The following is a 17,262-nucleotide window of genomic DNA, read 5'->3' as shown; positions in this document are numbered from 1 at the left end:
TCTGCCTAAAAGTAGGATATAAATTTATCTTGTGAAGGTAACGTCCTCTTTCGTACCAAGAGAAGAGAGACTCTTATCATCAGAGATAGCACCTAAATGAGTCTGCATAAACAAACTTTGCTAAAATAACTCATCTTCCATTACCTTTGCCATATATTTCCTAGTCACTTTTTTCCCCATGATTCATTATTTCTCAAAGCTCAAAGCCCCTTTCCTTTGTTAAAATGGTATATAAGGCCCTGAGTCTAACCACTTCAGTTTTACTTTTTTCCTGTAAACTCGTGTGCACACAAACATTAATAAAAATTGTATGCCTTTTCTCCCATTCCCCTGTCTTTTGTTACTTTAATTCGCAGACCCCCAGGAACAAAATATAACAGAGTAGTGTAAAAGTTTGTCCTCTCCAGCAATCTCATGGCAAAAAGGCTCGAAAGCACAACTGTGCAAACACATTTGAAGACGTCCATCATGTCACTTCCACTGAGATCCCACTGGCGAAAGCAAGTCACATGGGTAAGTCAAAGTCAAGGGACAGAGAAGTGTAGGCTTCCCATGGAAGTGGGAGGTGGGTTATTTTCAACCTCCATTTGTCTACACCAAAGCTGGAGCTGCCGCCTTGCAGCCTTCGCTGAAGCCTTCCTCCTGTGAATTTCCCTGGCTCATTGACTTGACCACTCCATGAAACAGTTATGTACTTTTGTCATCTTGTCCAAGTCTTAGTTCTTTGGTATTTGCTTTGTCTCCCCAATAGAATTTTTGCATTATTAAGGCAAGGGCAATTCTGAGACACCCCCAGCATTCGTACAATGCTGACACAGAGAAAGTACACGGTAAGTCATTGTGGAAGGACTGGTCAGGTGTATTTTTTTTCTATCTTTCTACCGAGAAGCCTGCAGTAAGTGCCGCTGTGGGTATCCTGGCAGATTACATGAAAACAAACGCAAAAGAGCTGAGCTTGTACCTGTGGCCCCACATTGCTGGAGGAATTTGACAGCTCTTCATTATTTCAGAGGATTTCTACCAGCAGGTACAGCTGGGTTAATCCGCACCATATCCTTGCAGACTTAATTAGCAGCTCCTTATCAGAACTCAGCTTCTTAATACTAGACATTAAAAAAAAAAAGTTCCAAGCTTATATCCTTATGTTCAGTTACTTCTCATGCAAATCTGAGACCAAAATCTCACCTTCTAAAGAGAGTCAAGAGATGAGAGTCAAAGTGATTCAAAAATGTCCTTTTCCTGGTCAGATGAAGATTATACTAATACTGATTAATTTGCAACCTCCAATATGGAATAATTCTATTCATTATCTCAGAAGTATTCTTTTTTGATGGTTTCTTCTGGGCATTCTACCACTCTAGTCTAGCCCCGGTCCCAGAATTAGGGGGACGCTGACCCCCAACAGGCATTTTTCCCCTCTACTCCTTAGAAGTCCTCTCCTAAATACATCTGTACTTTTTGCATCAGGAGTTTCAAATACTTGGGCTCACCACAGACAGATAGAAGGTAGTCAAAAGCAGATACTTCAAGCACTATCCATCACAATTGCCTTAGGTATTTACTTTACCTTTCTACAAGTCTAGGAATATTTCAAGGCCCCCTTTACTATCGCTGATGGGCTCTACGGCTCAACATTCTTTACAGACACAGGCTTTCGCGGATTTCACATTATTATTGGATCAACATTTCTCACTGTCTCCTCTGCCAATTAAAATTCCACTTTACATCCAACCACCGCTTTCCCTTTGAAGCCGCTGCCTGGTATTGACACTTCGTAGATGTAGTATGACTATTATTATACGTCTCTATCTCCTGATGAGGATCCTACTCTTTTAGCATAAACAGTACCATTGACTTCCAATCAATTAGTTTCGATACTATCTGAAAGACAGTAATCAACCTGACACTAGGCCTAGTAACCGACACCTCACTGGCCCTATTACTACTAATAATAGCATTGTGGATCCCACAACTTAATATTTATATGTAAAAATCCAACCCCTATGAATGTGGATTTGACCCAATAACCTCCGCCTGCTTCCCCTTCTCCTTAAAATTCTTCCCAGTAGCCACCACATTCCTCTTCTTCCACTTAGAGATCACTCTACTACTACCCCTGCCATGAGCCCTTCAAACAACCAATCTGACACTAATAATCAGCACAGCCCTTATATTAGTTACCATTTTAATCCCAGGCTTGACTTATGAATGAGCCCAAAAAGGGTTAGACTGAGTTGAATTGGTAAATAGTTTAAGTCAAAATAAATGATTTCAACTCATTAGATTATGATAGACCGTGTTTACCAAATGCCCTCTATTTACATTAATATTATATTAGCATACACCATATCACTACTAGGAGTATTAGTCTATCAATCACACCTAATATCCCTATGATGCCTAAAAGGCATAATACTATCAATATTTATCATAAATCCTCTCATAACTTTAAATATACATTTCGCTCTAGCATCCATAATACCTATTATCCTCCTAGTATTTGCTGTCTGCGAAGCTGCCGTGGGCCTTTCCTTACTAGTTTCAATCTCCAGTACGTATGGCCTAGATTATGTACAAAATCTGTTTGCTTCAATGCTAAATATTATTGTTCCAACAATTACACTGTTACCGATGACATGATTCTCTAAAAATTCTGTAATCTGAATCAACTGGTTATCCACAGCCTGCTCATCAGCCTCATCAGCCTACTATTTTTTAACCAATTCAACAATACCTCATCCAATTTCTCATTAGTCTTCTCTTCTGTCCCGCTGACATCACCTCTTCTAATCTTAACAGCCTGACTACTACCTCTTAAAATTCTAGCAAGCCAATATCACCTGTCCAATGAATCACACCCCCGAAAAAAAGCTCTATATTTCTATATTGATTTCCCTACAGACTTTTTAAATCATAGCATTCACCGCCACAGAACTAATTATATTTTATATCCTCTTTGAAGCCACGCTAGTTCCTACCCTAAGTATCATCACCCACTAAGGCAACCAACCAGAACGCCTCAATGCAAGCTCATACTTCTTATTTTACACATTAGTAGGATCCCTTCCTCTACTTGTAACACTCGTTTATACTCAAAAGATATCAAGGTCACTAAATATGCTAGTAATAATACTTTTCTTTTCTTTTCTTTTCTTTTTTAAGAGACAGATTTTCACTCTCGTTGCCTGGGCTGAAGGGCAGTGGCACGATCTCGGCTCACCGCAACCTACGCCTCCCGGGTTCAAACGATTCTCTTGCCTCAGCCTCCCAAGTAGCTGGAATTACAGGCATGTGCCACCACGCTAGGCTAATTTTGTATTTTTAGTAGAGACGGGGTTTCTTCATGTTGGTCAGGCTGGTCTCACACCCCTGACGTCAGGTGATCTGCCTGCCTCAGCCTCCCAAAGTGCTGGGATTACAGGCGTGAGCCACCACGCCCAGCCTAGTAATAATACTTACTACCCAAGAGCTATTAACCTCCTGATCCAATAATCTTATATGACTAGCATGTATCATGGCTTGTATAGTAAAAATACCTCTATATGGACTTCACCTAAGACTCCTCAAAGCTCATATAGAAGCTCAATAGTTCTTGCAGCAGTACTCCTAAAGCTAGGCAGTTACGGTATGATACAGCTTACTCTTATCCTCACCCCCCTAACAGAATAGATAGCCTGTCTGTTCCTCATCTTGTCCCTATGAGGAATAGCTCTGTTTGTCTACGATAAACTGATCGAAAATCACGTATTGGCTACTCCTCCGTAAGCCACATAGCACTTGTTATTATGCCTATCCTCATCCAGACCCTTGAAGCTTTATAGGTGCAATCACCCTTATAATTGCTCGCGCATTCACTTCATCCTTACTATTCTGCCTAGCAAATTCAAACTATGAGCGAGTCCATAGATGAACCATATTACTTACCCGAGGGCTTCAAACACTGCTCCCACTAATAGCCTCTTCTAGCAAATCTTACTAACCTTGCCTTACTCCCTACCATTAATCTAGCAGGAGAACTCTTTGTGACTATGGCCTCATTCTCCTGATCAAATGTCACTATTATGCTTATAGGACTTAATATACTAATTACAGCCCTTTCCTCCCTGTATATGCTAATCAAGACACAATGAGGGACACTTGCATATTATATTAACAGTATTAAACCTTCCTTTACATGAGAAAATACATTAATACTTATACATCTTGAGCCTATCTTCCTATTATCCTTAAACCCTAAAATTATTATAGGGTTTGCATGCTGTAGCTATAGTTCAACCAAAACATTAGATTGTGGATCTAACAATAGAAGCCTGCAACTTCTTACCTATCAAGAAAGTATGCAAGAACTGACAGCTCATGCCCCCATGCCTGATAATATGGTTTTCTCAACTTTTAAAGGATTAGAGTCATCCGTTGGTCTTAGGGACTTATCACTTACTATGTACAAGGATCATGCATTCATAAGATTGTTTAACCTTTATCTTAGTTAATCTTCTAGCTACTATAATTATCCCCATCTTGCAGCTGAGGAAAATGAGGCTTAAAGAGATTACGTGACTTGCCCAGGGTCACAGTGCTTACAAATGGTAGAACTGAAAGTAAACCCTGGCAAAAACATCTTTGCTTCTTAGCATTCTATGCTAAATTCCTCCTCTGTTCATTTTATTTTTTTGAGACAGAGTCTCGCTCTGTCGCCCAGGCTGGAGTGCAGTGGCCCAGTCTTGGCTCACTTCAACCTCCACCTCCCGGGTTCAAGTGATTCTCCTGCCTCAGCCTCCCAAGTAGCTGGGACTACAGGCATCTGCCACCACGCCCGGCAATTTTTTGTATTTTTAGTAGAGATGGGGTTTCATCATGTTGGCCAGGCTGGTCTCAAACTCCTGACCTCAGGTCATCCACTTGCCTCAGCCTTCCAAAGTGCAGGGATTACAGGCGTGAGCCACTGTGCCCTGCACAATCATTGGTTTTTATAAAACAAAATATTATAGCCACAAAAAATATCCCATAACCATTCTTCCCTACTCCTATCGTGGTAGAAAAAAACCTAGTTCTTGTCACACAGCCAGGAAAAGGTTCATCCTCCCTCTATGCCCAGAGGTAACCATGACTTGAATTTAATGGGGTTTTTTTTATTTTTAATTTTTGTGCTACATAGTAGGTGTATATATTTATGGATTACATGAGTTTTGTTTTTGTTTTTGTTTGTTTTTCAAGACAGGGTCTCACTCTGTCATCCAGGCTGGAGAGCAGTGGTGTGATCTCGGCTCACTGCAACCTCTGACTCCTGGGTTCAAGTGATCCTCTCACCTCAGCCTCCCAAGTAGCTGGGACTACAGGCATGCACTACCATGCCCGGCTAATTTTTCTATTTTTAATAGTGACAGGGTTTCACCATGTTGACCAGGCTGGTCTCGAACTCCTGGGCTCAAGAGATCCATCTGCCTTGGCCTCCAAAGGTTCTGGGGTTACAGGCATGAGCCACCGCACCTGGCCTTTTTTTGAATTTAGTGTTTCTAATTCCATTGTACTTGTCATACTCTTACTACATATGTAGATTAGCACAAAAATTACATAGAATTATTTGAATGTTTTAAAATTTTATTTAAGTAATATTCTTTAAACCATTTGCTTTTCAACTCCAGCTTACGTGTTTACACTTTATTCTCATTGATACATATAGGAATCTTGGAATAGGAATATTGCTATATAATGTTCAATTTTGTAATAACATTATTTATTCATTTTCTTGTTGATTTTTGTTAATACAAATAATATATCAATGGATATTTTGTACGTATCTTTTAAAGCAAATGTTCTAGAAGTTTTCTAGATTATGTACCCAAAAGTGCAATTACTGTGTCAAAGGGCATGCATATTTTCTACTTTATTGCCATGTAGTTCTCCAATGTGGTAATACCAATTTACATTCCTGCCAGCAAGCTATGAATGTTCTCTATGTTCTATATCCTCACCAATACTTGAATGTGTCAGAATTTAAAACGTTTCCCAATCAACTGTAGTAAAATGATAGCTCATTTTAATATATAGTTTCCTGATCACTATAATAAGCCTTTCTTATTATGTTAATTGGCCATTTACATTTCTTCTTCTGTGAGTGTTTTGATCATATTTTCTGTTCATTTTCATATTGGATTTTTTTTTCTTATTGATTTGGAACTCTGGATACGAATCTTTTCTCAGTTACGTGTATTGAAAATATATTCTCCTACTGTCTTTTAACCTCTTATGATACCTTTTATTATATCAAAAATTTTAACTTCAATGTAGCAAATGTGTTCAATTTTAATATATTGCTCTTTCTTTTGAAAGATAATGCATACAGCACATAGCTTAAACTTCAAGAGGTACAAAAGAGCATATAGTAAAAGGTCTATTCTCTGCCTCTTCAAATCACCCAATTCCCTTTAGTGTCCTCCCAGAATTATGCACATAAAAGCAAAATACAATAAATATTTTCACTTTTTTAATCCAAATATTAGTGTACACTGTTATGCATCTTGGGTTTTTTTTTCTTCCTTTACTATATAACCTGGAGATTATTCCACACCAGTAATATATTTAAGAGAGTTTCTTTGTTGTTTTATAGCTATATAATATTCCATAATATGAATGTACTATAATTTATATTTAACAAGATTAATATTTAGTGGCTTCTTTCCCATATTTTGTTGTTACAAACAATGGTGCACTGAGTAACCTTGTTCTTTTATCATGGCACACGCGTGTGTAGATGTCTAGGGAAAACATTTTTAGATATGGAAATGGCCAAAGAGTAGGTACAATTGTAATTTTGACAGATATTGCCAAATTTCCACCATAGGGGTTGTAAAAATTTGCTCCCCACAGCATTGTAAAAGGGTCTATTTCCTCTACCATGGACAATAACATAAGTCAGACTTCTGGATTTTTACCAACCCGATAGGTGAAAAATGGGATCTCAATGTAGTTTTTATTTGCATTTCTTTTTTAAAAAATATAATTTTTAAAAATTGAGAGCGTGTCTTGCTCTGTTGCCCACGCTGGTCTCCAACTCCTGGACCCAAGTGATGGTCCTGCCTCAATCTCCCAAAGTGCTGGGATTACAGGTGTGAGCCACCATGCCTGACCATTGATTTGTATTTCTGTTATTATTAACGAAGTTGAACATAGGGTGCAAAAATTTAGTATTTTTAGATTCTTAAGACCACTTATGTATACTTTTCTGTGATCTATCTGTTTCTATCGAATTATTGCTACTTTATTGATTTGAAAATGTTCTTTCTTGTTGAAATTAGCTCTTTGTCTGTGACATAAGTTGTAGTGGTTGTTCCCATGCATATGATTCAACTTATTTGTTTTTGTTTTATGATTTGAGCTTTCTCTGCTTTTGTTAGGTTTTTTCCTGATCTGATGTCATCAAAATATTATCCTACATTTCAAAAAACTTTGTAATATTTTGCATTCTTGGCAGGGCGCGGTGGCTCACACCTGTAATCTCAGCACCTTGGGAGGCTGAAGCAGGCAGATCACTTAAGGCCAGAAGTTCAAGACCAGCCTGGGCAAAATGGAGAAACCCCATCTCGACTAAAAAATACAAAAATTAGCCGGGCATGGTGGTGCATGCCTGTAATCCCAGCTACTCAGGAGGCTGAGGCAGAGAATTTCTTGAACCCAGAAGATGGAGGTTGCAGTGAGCCAAAATTGCACCACTGCACTCCAGCCTGGGTGAGAGAGCAAGACTCTGTCTCAAAAAAAAAAAAGAAAAAGAAGGAAAGAAAGAAAGAAGAAAGAAAGAAAGAAAGAAAGAAAGAAAGAAAGAAAGAAAGAAAGAAAGAAAAAGAAAGAAAGAGAAAGAAAGAAAGCAATTTTATTTTATTGTCCATATACATAAGTAGCTGTACCATTTATTGAATAATCCTTTTCATCCCAGCAGACTGGTAATGGCACTTTTGGAGATGATGAAATTTGCAATGTATATGAGGCTCTATTTCTGAGTTCCCTGTTCTAGCCCTCTGGTCCATTCCAGTGCTTAGTAACCTTTGTACATCATTTTCACATAGAAAATGATCATCTTCGCAAGGTACTTTGGAGTATATGAAAAAGGCTGGTGGTCCCATGGGGCTTCAGCTACTGCAGGCCCCCTCACTTTATGACATGAACTCAATCTCATAAAGATTTCAAGTCCCCCCAAAATTCATCTGTAAACTCACCTAATTTTAAAATTTTTTTGGAAGAGCAAAGGGACAAAAAGTACTTAAGACAACTTTGGAGAAAGACAAAGAGGAGTGACTTGCCTTATCAGACAAATCATTTAAATTGCATCATCACTGGTGGTTCACGTGTGGGAAAAATAAATAGATAAATTGCATCCTCATCTTTTTTTAAGGCTTTTAATGAAGTTTTATAATTTCTATCCTAAAGGTTTAACAAATATTTTGTTAAATCTATTCTTTGGCCGGGCACGGTGTCTCATGCCTGTAATCCTAGCACTTAGGAAGGCCGAGGCAGGCAGATTGCCTGAGCTCAGGAGTCCAAGACCAGCCTGCACAACATGGAGAGACCCCGTCTCTACTAAAATACAAAAGATTAGCTGGGTGTGGTGGTGGGCGCTTGTAGTTCCAGCTACTCGGGAGGCTGAGGCAGGAGAATTGCTTGAACCCAGGAGGCGGAAGTTGCAGTAAGCCGAGATCAAGCCACTGCACTCCAGCCTAGAAGACAGAGCGAGACTCCGTCTCAAAAAAAAAACAAAAAACAAAAAAACTATTATTTGATATATTGCTGTTTTGCGGATATTATAAACTGTTCTTTTCTCCCCTTCCTTAAAGAGTCAGGAGAACATAATGATGAAGATGATAAAATAATCATCATCATCATCATTCATCATCATGATCATCATCTTGATGGCAAATAGCTACCACTTATATAGCCAAGGACTACTCAAAGGACTTCACATATTTTAACTAATTTATCTCTATAAAAACCCTACTAAGTTTCCCGGTTCAGTGGCTCATGCCTGTAATCCCATCACTTTGGGAGGCCGAGGCGGGCATATCACTTGAGGTCAGAAGTTGGAGACCAGCCTGGCCAACATGGCAAAACCCTGCCTCTACTAAAAATGCAAAAATTAGCCAGGCATGATGACATGCTCCCAGCTACTTGGGAGGCTGAGGCACAAGAATCACTCAAACTCAGGAGGTGGAGGTTGCAGTGAGCTGAGATCATGCCACTGCAGTCCAGACCAGGTGACAGAATGATACTGTCTCAAAAAAAAAAAAAAAAAAAAGCAAACAGAGGAAGTAAATTACCTAAATGATAGAAATCTTTCAGCTCCCCTATACAAAGATTAGCCTTGTGTGTGGGTATGTTGAATGTACTGAGCTCCAACTATGGGATTTAAATGTTACCACATGGTTTGCAACATTCATTCTATTGACTGCATTTTATAAATTAAATTATTTTGAAAGTGCCACTCAACTTACATTTGATAAAATCATAAACAGAGAACAGCTCCTCCACTTACACGCAGGGCTGCGACTCTGGAAATTTTCCTCCTCCCTGTCCTTTGTTTGAAGCACTGATCAACTTGTCCTGGGCTCCCTGCTTGTTTCCAGACCAGGGTTTGGAGTGGCTGACTTTTCTTTACCTGCCTCCATGCATATTCCACAGAGATTAAAATCATGTAAGGATCTTTCTCCACCAGTAGGGAAAGAATAGGCTCTTCCACAATTGGTTCTGGCACAACTGAATTCCCACATGCAGAAGTATTATGTTCAACCCCTTCCTCATATCACATACAAAAATTATCTCAGGGCTAGGTGCGGTGGCTCATGCCTGTAATCCCAGCACTTTGGGAGGCCGAGCTGGGCGGATCACTTGAGGTCAGGAGTTCGAGACCAGTCTGGCCAACACGGTGAAACCCCGTCTCTACTAAAAATACAAAAATTAGCCGGGCGTGGTGGCGTGTACCTGTAGTTCCAGCTACTCTACTCGGGAGGCTGAGGCAAGAGAATCTCTTGAACCCGGGAGGCGGAGGTTGCAGTAAGCCAAGATCATGCCACTGCACTCCAGCCTGGGTGACAGAGCAAGACTGTCTAAAAAATAAATAAATAAATAAATCTCAGAATGGATCAACAACCTAAATATAACAGCCATAGTACTCTTAGCAGAAAAGTGGAATAAATCTTCATGACCTTGGATTTGGCAATGGTTTCATTTTGTTTTTTTTTTTGGAGACAGTGTCTTGCTCTGCTGCCCAGGCTGGAGTACCATGTGTGATCATGGCTCACTGCAGCTGGGCTTAAACCATCCTCCTGCCTCAGCCTCCTGGTTAGCTGGGACCATAAGTGTGTGCCACCATGAACCCGGCTGGCAAAGAATTTTTAGATATGACACCAAAGCATGAGCAACAAATGACAAAATTGATCAATTGGACTTCATGAAAGTTAAAAACTTTTGCGTATCAAACGATATTATCGGCTGAACATGGTGGTTCACAGCTGTAATCCCAGTATTACCGGAAGGCAGCCATTCATTGTGAGATGTCCAGGTTGAATAAATAATTGAACAAAGTGCACAAAGTAACAAAAGAATGAAACAGCGAAAGCAGGGACTGATTGATTGATTTTTGAGACAGAGTCTCATTCTGTCACTCAGGCTGTAGTGCAGTGGCATGATCTCAGCTCACTGCAACGTCTGCCTCCCGGGTTCAAGCGATTCTCCTGCCTCAGCCTCCTGAGTACCTGGGACTACAGGCATGAGCCACTAAGCCCAGCTAATTTTTATATTTTTAGTAGAGATGGGGGTTTCACCATGTTGGCCAGACTGGTCTTGAACTCCTGACCTCAAGTGATGCATCTGCCACAGCCTCCCAAAGTGCTGGGATTACAGGTGTGAGCCACTGCACCCAGCAAAAACACTGATTTATTAAAGCAAGAAAGCACTCTGGCCTGGAGTGGTGGTTCAGGCTTGTAATCCCAGCACTTTGGGAGGCCGAGGTGTGCGGATCACGAGGTCAGGAGTTTGAGACCAGCCTGGCCAACATGGTGAAACCCCATCTCTACTAAAGATACAAAAAATTAGCCAGGTGTGGTGGGGCATGCCTGTAATCCCAGCTACTTGGGAAGCTGAGGCAGGAGAATCGCTTGAATCCGGGAGGCAGAAGTTGCAGTAAGCCAAGATTGCACCATTGCACTCCAACCTGGGCGACAGGGCGAGATTCCATCTCAAAGAAAAGAAAGAAAAAAGAAAAGAAAGCACTCCATAGGGTAGGAGTAGAATGAAGCAAGCAGCTCAAGGACCCCACCTACAAAGTTTGTGGGGGTTTAAGTAGTCCGTTTGAGGTTCCTATCAGCTACCTCTTATCTGGATGAAAGATTTGGCCTGTGGCTAATTAAAGGCTGAGGTGAATTGGCCGGTGGCTAACCCAAGGCTGGAGCAGATTGATGCCCTATGCAGATGAAGGGGTAGTGCTTCCTCAGTCCCCTTCCGCTCCAGGGCACTCTCCCTCTCTATCCTGGGGGAAGGAGGGAAGTTGTAGGAGAGTAAGTAGCCTTTGATCCTTTGTTACTTGGGCCTGGGGAGATTGAGTTTTTCCTTTTGGTGTAGCTTTAGGAAGTTCCTGCCAATTGGCCTTAGGGTTCCTGCTCCCAGACCCAAGTATTTCCCCTCTGATTTCACCTTAGGAAATTTTCATGAATTGGGCTTAGATTCCTGGCCCCCAGAACTTGATGTTTTCCCTTGATTCAGCTTTAGGAAGTCAGCACAAATTGTTCTCAAGTTCCCTGCCTCCAGACTCTATTCTCTGGCCTCACCAACACTCTGGCAGGCCAAGTTAGGAGGATGGCTTGAACCCAGGAGCTTAAGAAGAGTCTGGGCAACAAAGCCATACCTCATCACTATGAAAAATAGAAACTGCCAGGCATGGTGACTCATGTCTGTAATCCCCACACTTTGGGAGGCCGAAGTGGGTGGATGGCTTGAGCCCAGGAGTTTGAGACCATCCTGGGCAACATGGCAAGGTCTTGTCTCTTAAAAAATACCAAAAATTAGCTGGGGATGGTGGTGCATGCCTGTGGTCCCAGCTACCTGGGAGGCTGAAGTGGGACGATCACCTGAGCCCTGAAAGTTGAGGGTGCAGTGAGCTGTGATCATGTCACTGCACTCCAGCCTGAGAGATGGAGTGAGACCTTGCCTCAAAAAAGAAATAAAAATTTTTTAATTAAAAAAAAAAATGGCCGGGCACAGTGGCTCATGCCTGTAATCCCAGCAATTTAGGAGGCCAAGGCAGTTGGATCACTTGAGTCCAGTAGTTCAAGACGACCCTGGGCAACATGGTGAAGCCTCATCTCTACTAAAAATACAAAAACTAGCCAAGTATGGTGACCTGTGCCTGTAATCCCAGCTACTTGGGAAGCTGAGGCAGGAGAATCACTTGAACCCGGGAGGCAGAAGTTGCAGTGAGCTGAGATTGTGCCACTGCACTCCAGCCTGGGAGACAGAGTAAGACTCTGTCTCAAGAAAAAAAAAAAAGTAAAAGACATTATCAAGAAAGTGAAAAGATAATCTATGAGTGGGATAAAATATTTGCAAATTGCATATGTGATAAGAGTCTAGTATCCAGAATATATAAAGAACTCTTACAACTTAAAAAGGCAAAAAACCCAATTTAAAAAATACGCAAAGAACTTGAATAGATATTTTCCCGAACAATATATGCAAATGGCCAAGAAGCACATGAAAAGAAGCTCAACATCATTCATTATTAGAAAAGTGCAAATAGAAAGCACAAAGAGTTACCACGTCACACCACCAGGATGGTGTTAAAAAAAAAAGAAAAATCACAAGTGTCGAGGAGGATGTGGAGAAACTGGAATGCCCATACATTGCTGGTGAGAATGTCAAGTGGCTCAGCCACCATGGAAAACAGTTTAGGGGTTCCTCAAAAATTTATACACAGAATTACCACAGGACCCCAAAATTCCACTTTTATGTATTTATTTTTATTTTTTATTTTAATTAATTTATTTATTTTGAGACAGAGTCTCACTCTGTCACCCAGGCTGGAGTGCAGTGGTGCAGTCTCGGCTCACTGCAACCTCTGCCTCCTAAGTTCAAGTGATTCTCCTGCCTCAGCCTCCCAAGTAGCTGGGATTACAGGCGCCCACCACCATGCCCAGCTAATTTTTGTATTTTTTTTTTTAGTAAAGACAGGGGTTTCACCTTGTTGGCCAGGCTGGTCTCAAATCCCTGACCTCAGGTGATCTGCCTGCCTTGGCCTCCCAAAGTGCTGGAATTATAGGCATGAGTCACCGTGCCCAACCCACTTTTAGATCTAAATTCCACTTTTAGATCTAAATCTCACAATTCCACTTTTAGATCTAAACCCCAAATAATTGAAAACAGGCACTCTAACGAGTACATGAACATGGATGTTCATAGCAGCACAACTCACAATAACCGAAAGGTGTGAAGAGCCCAAATGTTCCTCATCCCATGAATGGCTCAGCAAGTTGTTGTATATGCATACAATGGAGTATGATTCAGCCAAAAAAAAGTACTGATACAGGCTGCAATGTGGATAAACACATTATACTAGGTGAACATTAAACTTTTTTCACTTAATATAATGTTTTTATTGGGTTGTTTGTTTTAATATAATGTTTTTATCCAAATGTGGATATTAAAGAACTCTTAGAATTTAAAAAGACAAACAATCCAATTTAAAAAATAGGCAAAGAACTTGAATAGATATTTCCCCGAAGAATATATGCAAATGGCCCTGCTGTCTAGGAGACAGTGGTATTTCGTTTTATCTGTAAAATAGAGATGACAGTAGTCCCGCTTCACAGATCTGGTAGAATAATAAATGACAGTTCATGCAATGTAATTAGTTTATTATTATTATCCAAATGTAGATAAAAACATTATAGTTAGTTAGCTGGGCATGATGGCAGGCACCTGTAGTCCCAGCAACTCCGGAGGCTGAGGCAGAAGAATCGCTTGAACCGGGAGGCGGATGTTGCAGTGAGTCGAGATCGTACCACTGCGCTCCAGCCTGGGCGACAGAGTGAGACTCTGTCTCAGACAACAACAGCAAAAACACAAGCACATCATACTAAGTGAAAAAAGCCAGAAACAAAAAGTCATATATTGTTTGACTTCATTTACATGCAATATCCAGAATAGATAAATCCATACACACAGACATGGATTGGTGGTTGCCAGTGGGCGAGGAGGTGGAAATGTGTAATGAGGGGAAACTGCTTAATGGGTAAGGGGTATCACTTTGGAGTAATGGAGATGTTTTAAAACTAGATAGGCAGGGTGCTGTGACTCATGCTCATAATCTCAGCACTTTGGGAGGCCAAGGCGGGCGGATCACGAGGTCAGGAGTTTGAGACCAGCCTGACCAACATGGTGAAACCCCATCTCTACTAAAAATACAAAAGTTAGCTGGGCGTGGTGGCACATGCCTGTAATCCGAGCTACTCGGGAGGCTGAGGCAGGAGAATCACTTGAATCTGGGAGGCGGAGGTTGCAGTGAGCCGAGATCGCGCCACTGCACTCCATCCTGGGCGACAGAGCAAGACTCTTTCTCAAAAAAAAATAAAAGAAAAAAAAATTAGCCAGGCATGGTGGCACGCACGTGTGATCCCAGCTACTTGGCAGACTGAGGGGAGAATCACCTGAGCGCAGGAGGTTGAGGCAGCAGTGAGCCAAGACTGCATCATTGCACTCCGGCCTGGGTGATAGAGTGAGACCTTGTCTCAAAAAAATAAAAATAAAAAAATAAAACCTAGATAAAGGTGGTGATTGTACAACGTTGTGAATGTACTAAATGCCCCTGAATTTTTCACTTTAAAATGGTTAATTTTGTGTTACGAAATTTCATATATATGTATTTATTATTACTATTATTATTTTAGACAAAGTTTCTGTTGCCCAGGCTGGAGTGCAGTGGCATGATCTCAGCTCACTGCAACCTCCGCCTCCTGGGTTCAAGCAATTCTCTTGCTTCCGCCTCTCGAGTAGCTGGGATTACAGGCGTGTGCCACCCCACCTGGCTAATTTTTGTATTTTTCGTAGAGATGAGTTTCACCATGTTGACCAGGCTGGTCTCAAACTCCTGATGTCAAGAGATCCGCCTGCCTCTGCCTCCCAAATTGTTGGGATTACAGGCGTGAGCCACTGCGCCTGGCCATCCCCTCAATATATATATTTTTTTAATCAGGAAAGGGACAAAGCTATTCTTTAGCAAACAAACAATACAGAAGGAGTAAAGAGGTAAACATGCTGTCTAGGAGACATTGGTATTTTGTTTTATCTGTAAAATAGAGATGACAGTAGTCCCGCTTCACAGATCTGGTAGAATAATAAATGATTAATTCATGCAATGTACTTAGTTTATTATTATTATTATTATCATTATTACTATTTTTTGAGATGGAGTATCACTCTGTTGCCCAGGTGGGAGTGCAGTGGCACAATCTCGGCTCACTGTAGCCTCTGCCTCCTGGGTTCAAGTGATTCTCCTGCTTCAGCCTCCTGAGTAGCTGGGATTACAGGCACCCGCCACCATGCCCGGCTAATTTTTGTATTTTTAGTAGAAATAGGGTTTCACCATGTTGGCCAGTCTAGTCTCACACTCCTGACCTCCAGTAACCAGCCCGCCTCAGCCTCCTAAAGTGCTGGGATTACAGGCATGAACCACTGTGCCTGGCCCATGCATTGTACTTAGAAGAGGGCCATACATATGGTGAATGCTCCATATATGTTATCTATCATCATTGTTATAAATTCTTGCCCAAAGAACCCACTAGAAAGCTTTCTCAAAAAATTCTAATGCAATCACTTTCTCCTTCAATCCTATTAAGATTGTAAAAATCAATAAAAAAAATGAAATCTTTTTTTCAGATGATTTTTTCATTTCAAAAAAAAGATGCAAAAGAACTGACCTCAATATAACTAGTATCACTGGACTCTACTACCTGTCAAATACTTTGCAAATACTGTGACACTTGTGGGTAGGTATATGGTCCTCATTTTGCAGCAGGGGAAACTGAGGCTCAAAGAGGTTAACTGACTTGACCAATACCTCACAGATGGTCAGTGGCAGATTGAGAGTTCAAAGCCAGGTCTGGCTTTTACCAAGACTGGAGTCCCTCACTCTACTGCATTGCTTTCTCTGCACAAAGTAACTTTCTAGGCCAAGCCTATTGGAGGGGGCCGAGGGTGAGAGGTGAAGACAGAAGGAAAAACTGCAGGACAAAGGGAAAGCCCCGCTCGCTTGGAGTGCGAACTCTGCCAACTAGTACTCCCAACATCACTGGCTTTCTAATTGGCCACAGCCACATGCCTTATTCCTTTCATGATACATTAATCCCAAGTACCAGATTGGGACCAACCTGATGTGGTCTCGCCTTGCTACATTAACCTACTGATTTGAAAGGAGTTCTAAAATATTGGCCAGCACAGATGCGTGGGAAATCTGAGACCTGTCTCTGTCCTTTACTTTCATCCCACTCCTAACTCAAGCTTGCGATATCTCCAGCACTGCATAAGAGGATGCTATTTATGCTGGGTGTGAGGGGTTCAAGATAGAGGTGGCTGTTTTGCCCCTGATAGGATGATGCCTTGTCCCTGCTCTCTGCTAACCCCCCAAATCCCAATATCTTGCCCAGTGGGATCTAGAGTTACCTGTGTAATCAGCAATATAAAGCTGGCAGGGGACAGAAAAAATGACCTTAGCTAATCAGCATATGTTTTAGTTTCTTAGGGCCAGGGCTAACCAAGGGATGAGAGGGAGCGGTTACTTGCTTGCTATTAATAGAAGGTTGAGCTGGAGGTGGGAGAAAATATGATACATATTTTGGTACTGAAAGGTACCAGTCTATTAGTCAGCCTGTGTCTATGGGATTGAGGGCAAATTCGTATCCTTGAACAGTGTCCACAGGGACAATGTCCTAGGATGCCTAGGACTTTGATACTAATCTCTTCCCCAATCAGCATAAACCCTACTCCCTCTAAAGTAGTGTTACTGTTACCCTAAACCTCCCCTATGCTTTCCCCTCTTGCTCCTATCTCCTTGGGTCTCATGTCGCTGGGAGGCTGTCTTAGAGCTTGCTTGCGTTTTACTCACAGCTGGAAAGTCTGGTTCTCTATTGAAAGGACCACCTGGCCAGCATGATGGCTCACACCTGACTTCAGGTCAGGAGTTCAAGACCACCCTGGCCAACATGGTGAAACCCCGTCTCTACTAAAGCT

At 41.4% G+C, this 17,262-nt stretch overlaps 1 protein-coding gene and 4 pseudogenes across 4 annotated transcripts in view; all 5 read left to right on the top strand.

Moving 5' to 3' along the window:
• Window positions 1-8,374, top strand: part of SEL1L3 (SEL1L family member 3) — a 149,603-nt gene extending 141,229 nt beyond the window's left edge. For 2 of the 4 annotated variants that reach the window (XR_007096387.1, XR_007096388.1), the window contains exons 24-25: window positions 357-513; window positions 7,472-8,374. The gene's annotated coding sequence lies outside the window, so the exon portion shown is untranslated. Of the gene's footprint in view, window positions 1-356; window positions 514-3,162; window positions 6,495-7,471 lie in introns of those variants that run through there. The other 2 variants (XR_001741182.3, XR_007096389.1) reach the window with 1 other exon arrangement.
• Window positions 1,282-1,822, top strand: MTCO3P44 (MT-CO3 pseudogene 44; annotated as a pseudogene).
• MTND3P5 (MT-ND3 pseudogene 5) lies at window positions 1,907-2,239 on the top strand (annotated as a pseudogene).
• Window positions 2,308-2,583, top strand: MTND4LP22 (MT-ND4L pseudogene 22; annotated as a pseudogene).
• Window positions 2,593-4,256, top strand: MTND4P9 (MT-ND4 pseudogene 9; annotated as a pseudogene).
• Window positions 8,375-17,262: the final 8,888 nt, after the last annotated feature.

Source organism: Homo sapiens, chromosome 4, assembly GCF_000001405.40.
Source record: "Homo sapiens chromosome 4, GRCh38.p14 Primary Assembly".
Lineage (NCBI taxonomy): Eukaryota > Metazoa > Chordata > Mammalia > Primates > Hominidae > Homo > Homo sapiens.
Note: the sequence above shows the minus strand (reverse complement) of the source record. Positions and strands in the feature narration are given on the sequence as shown.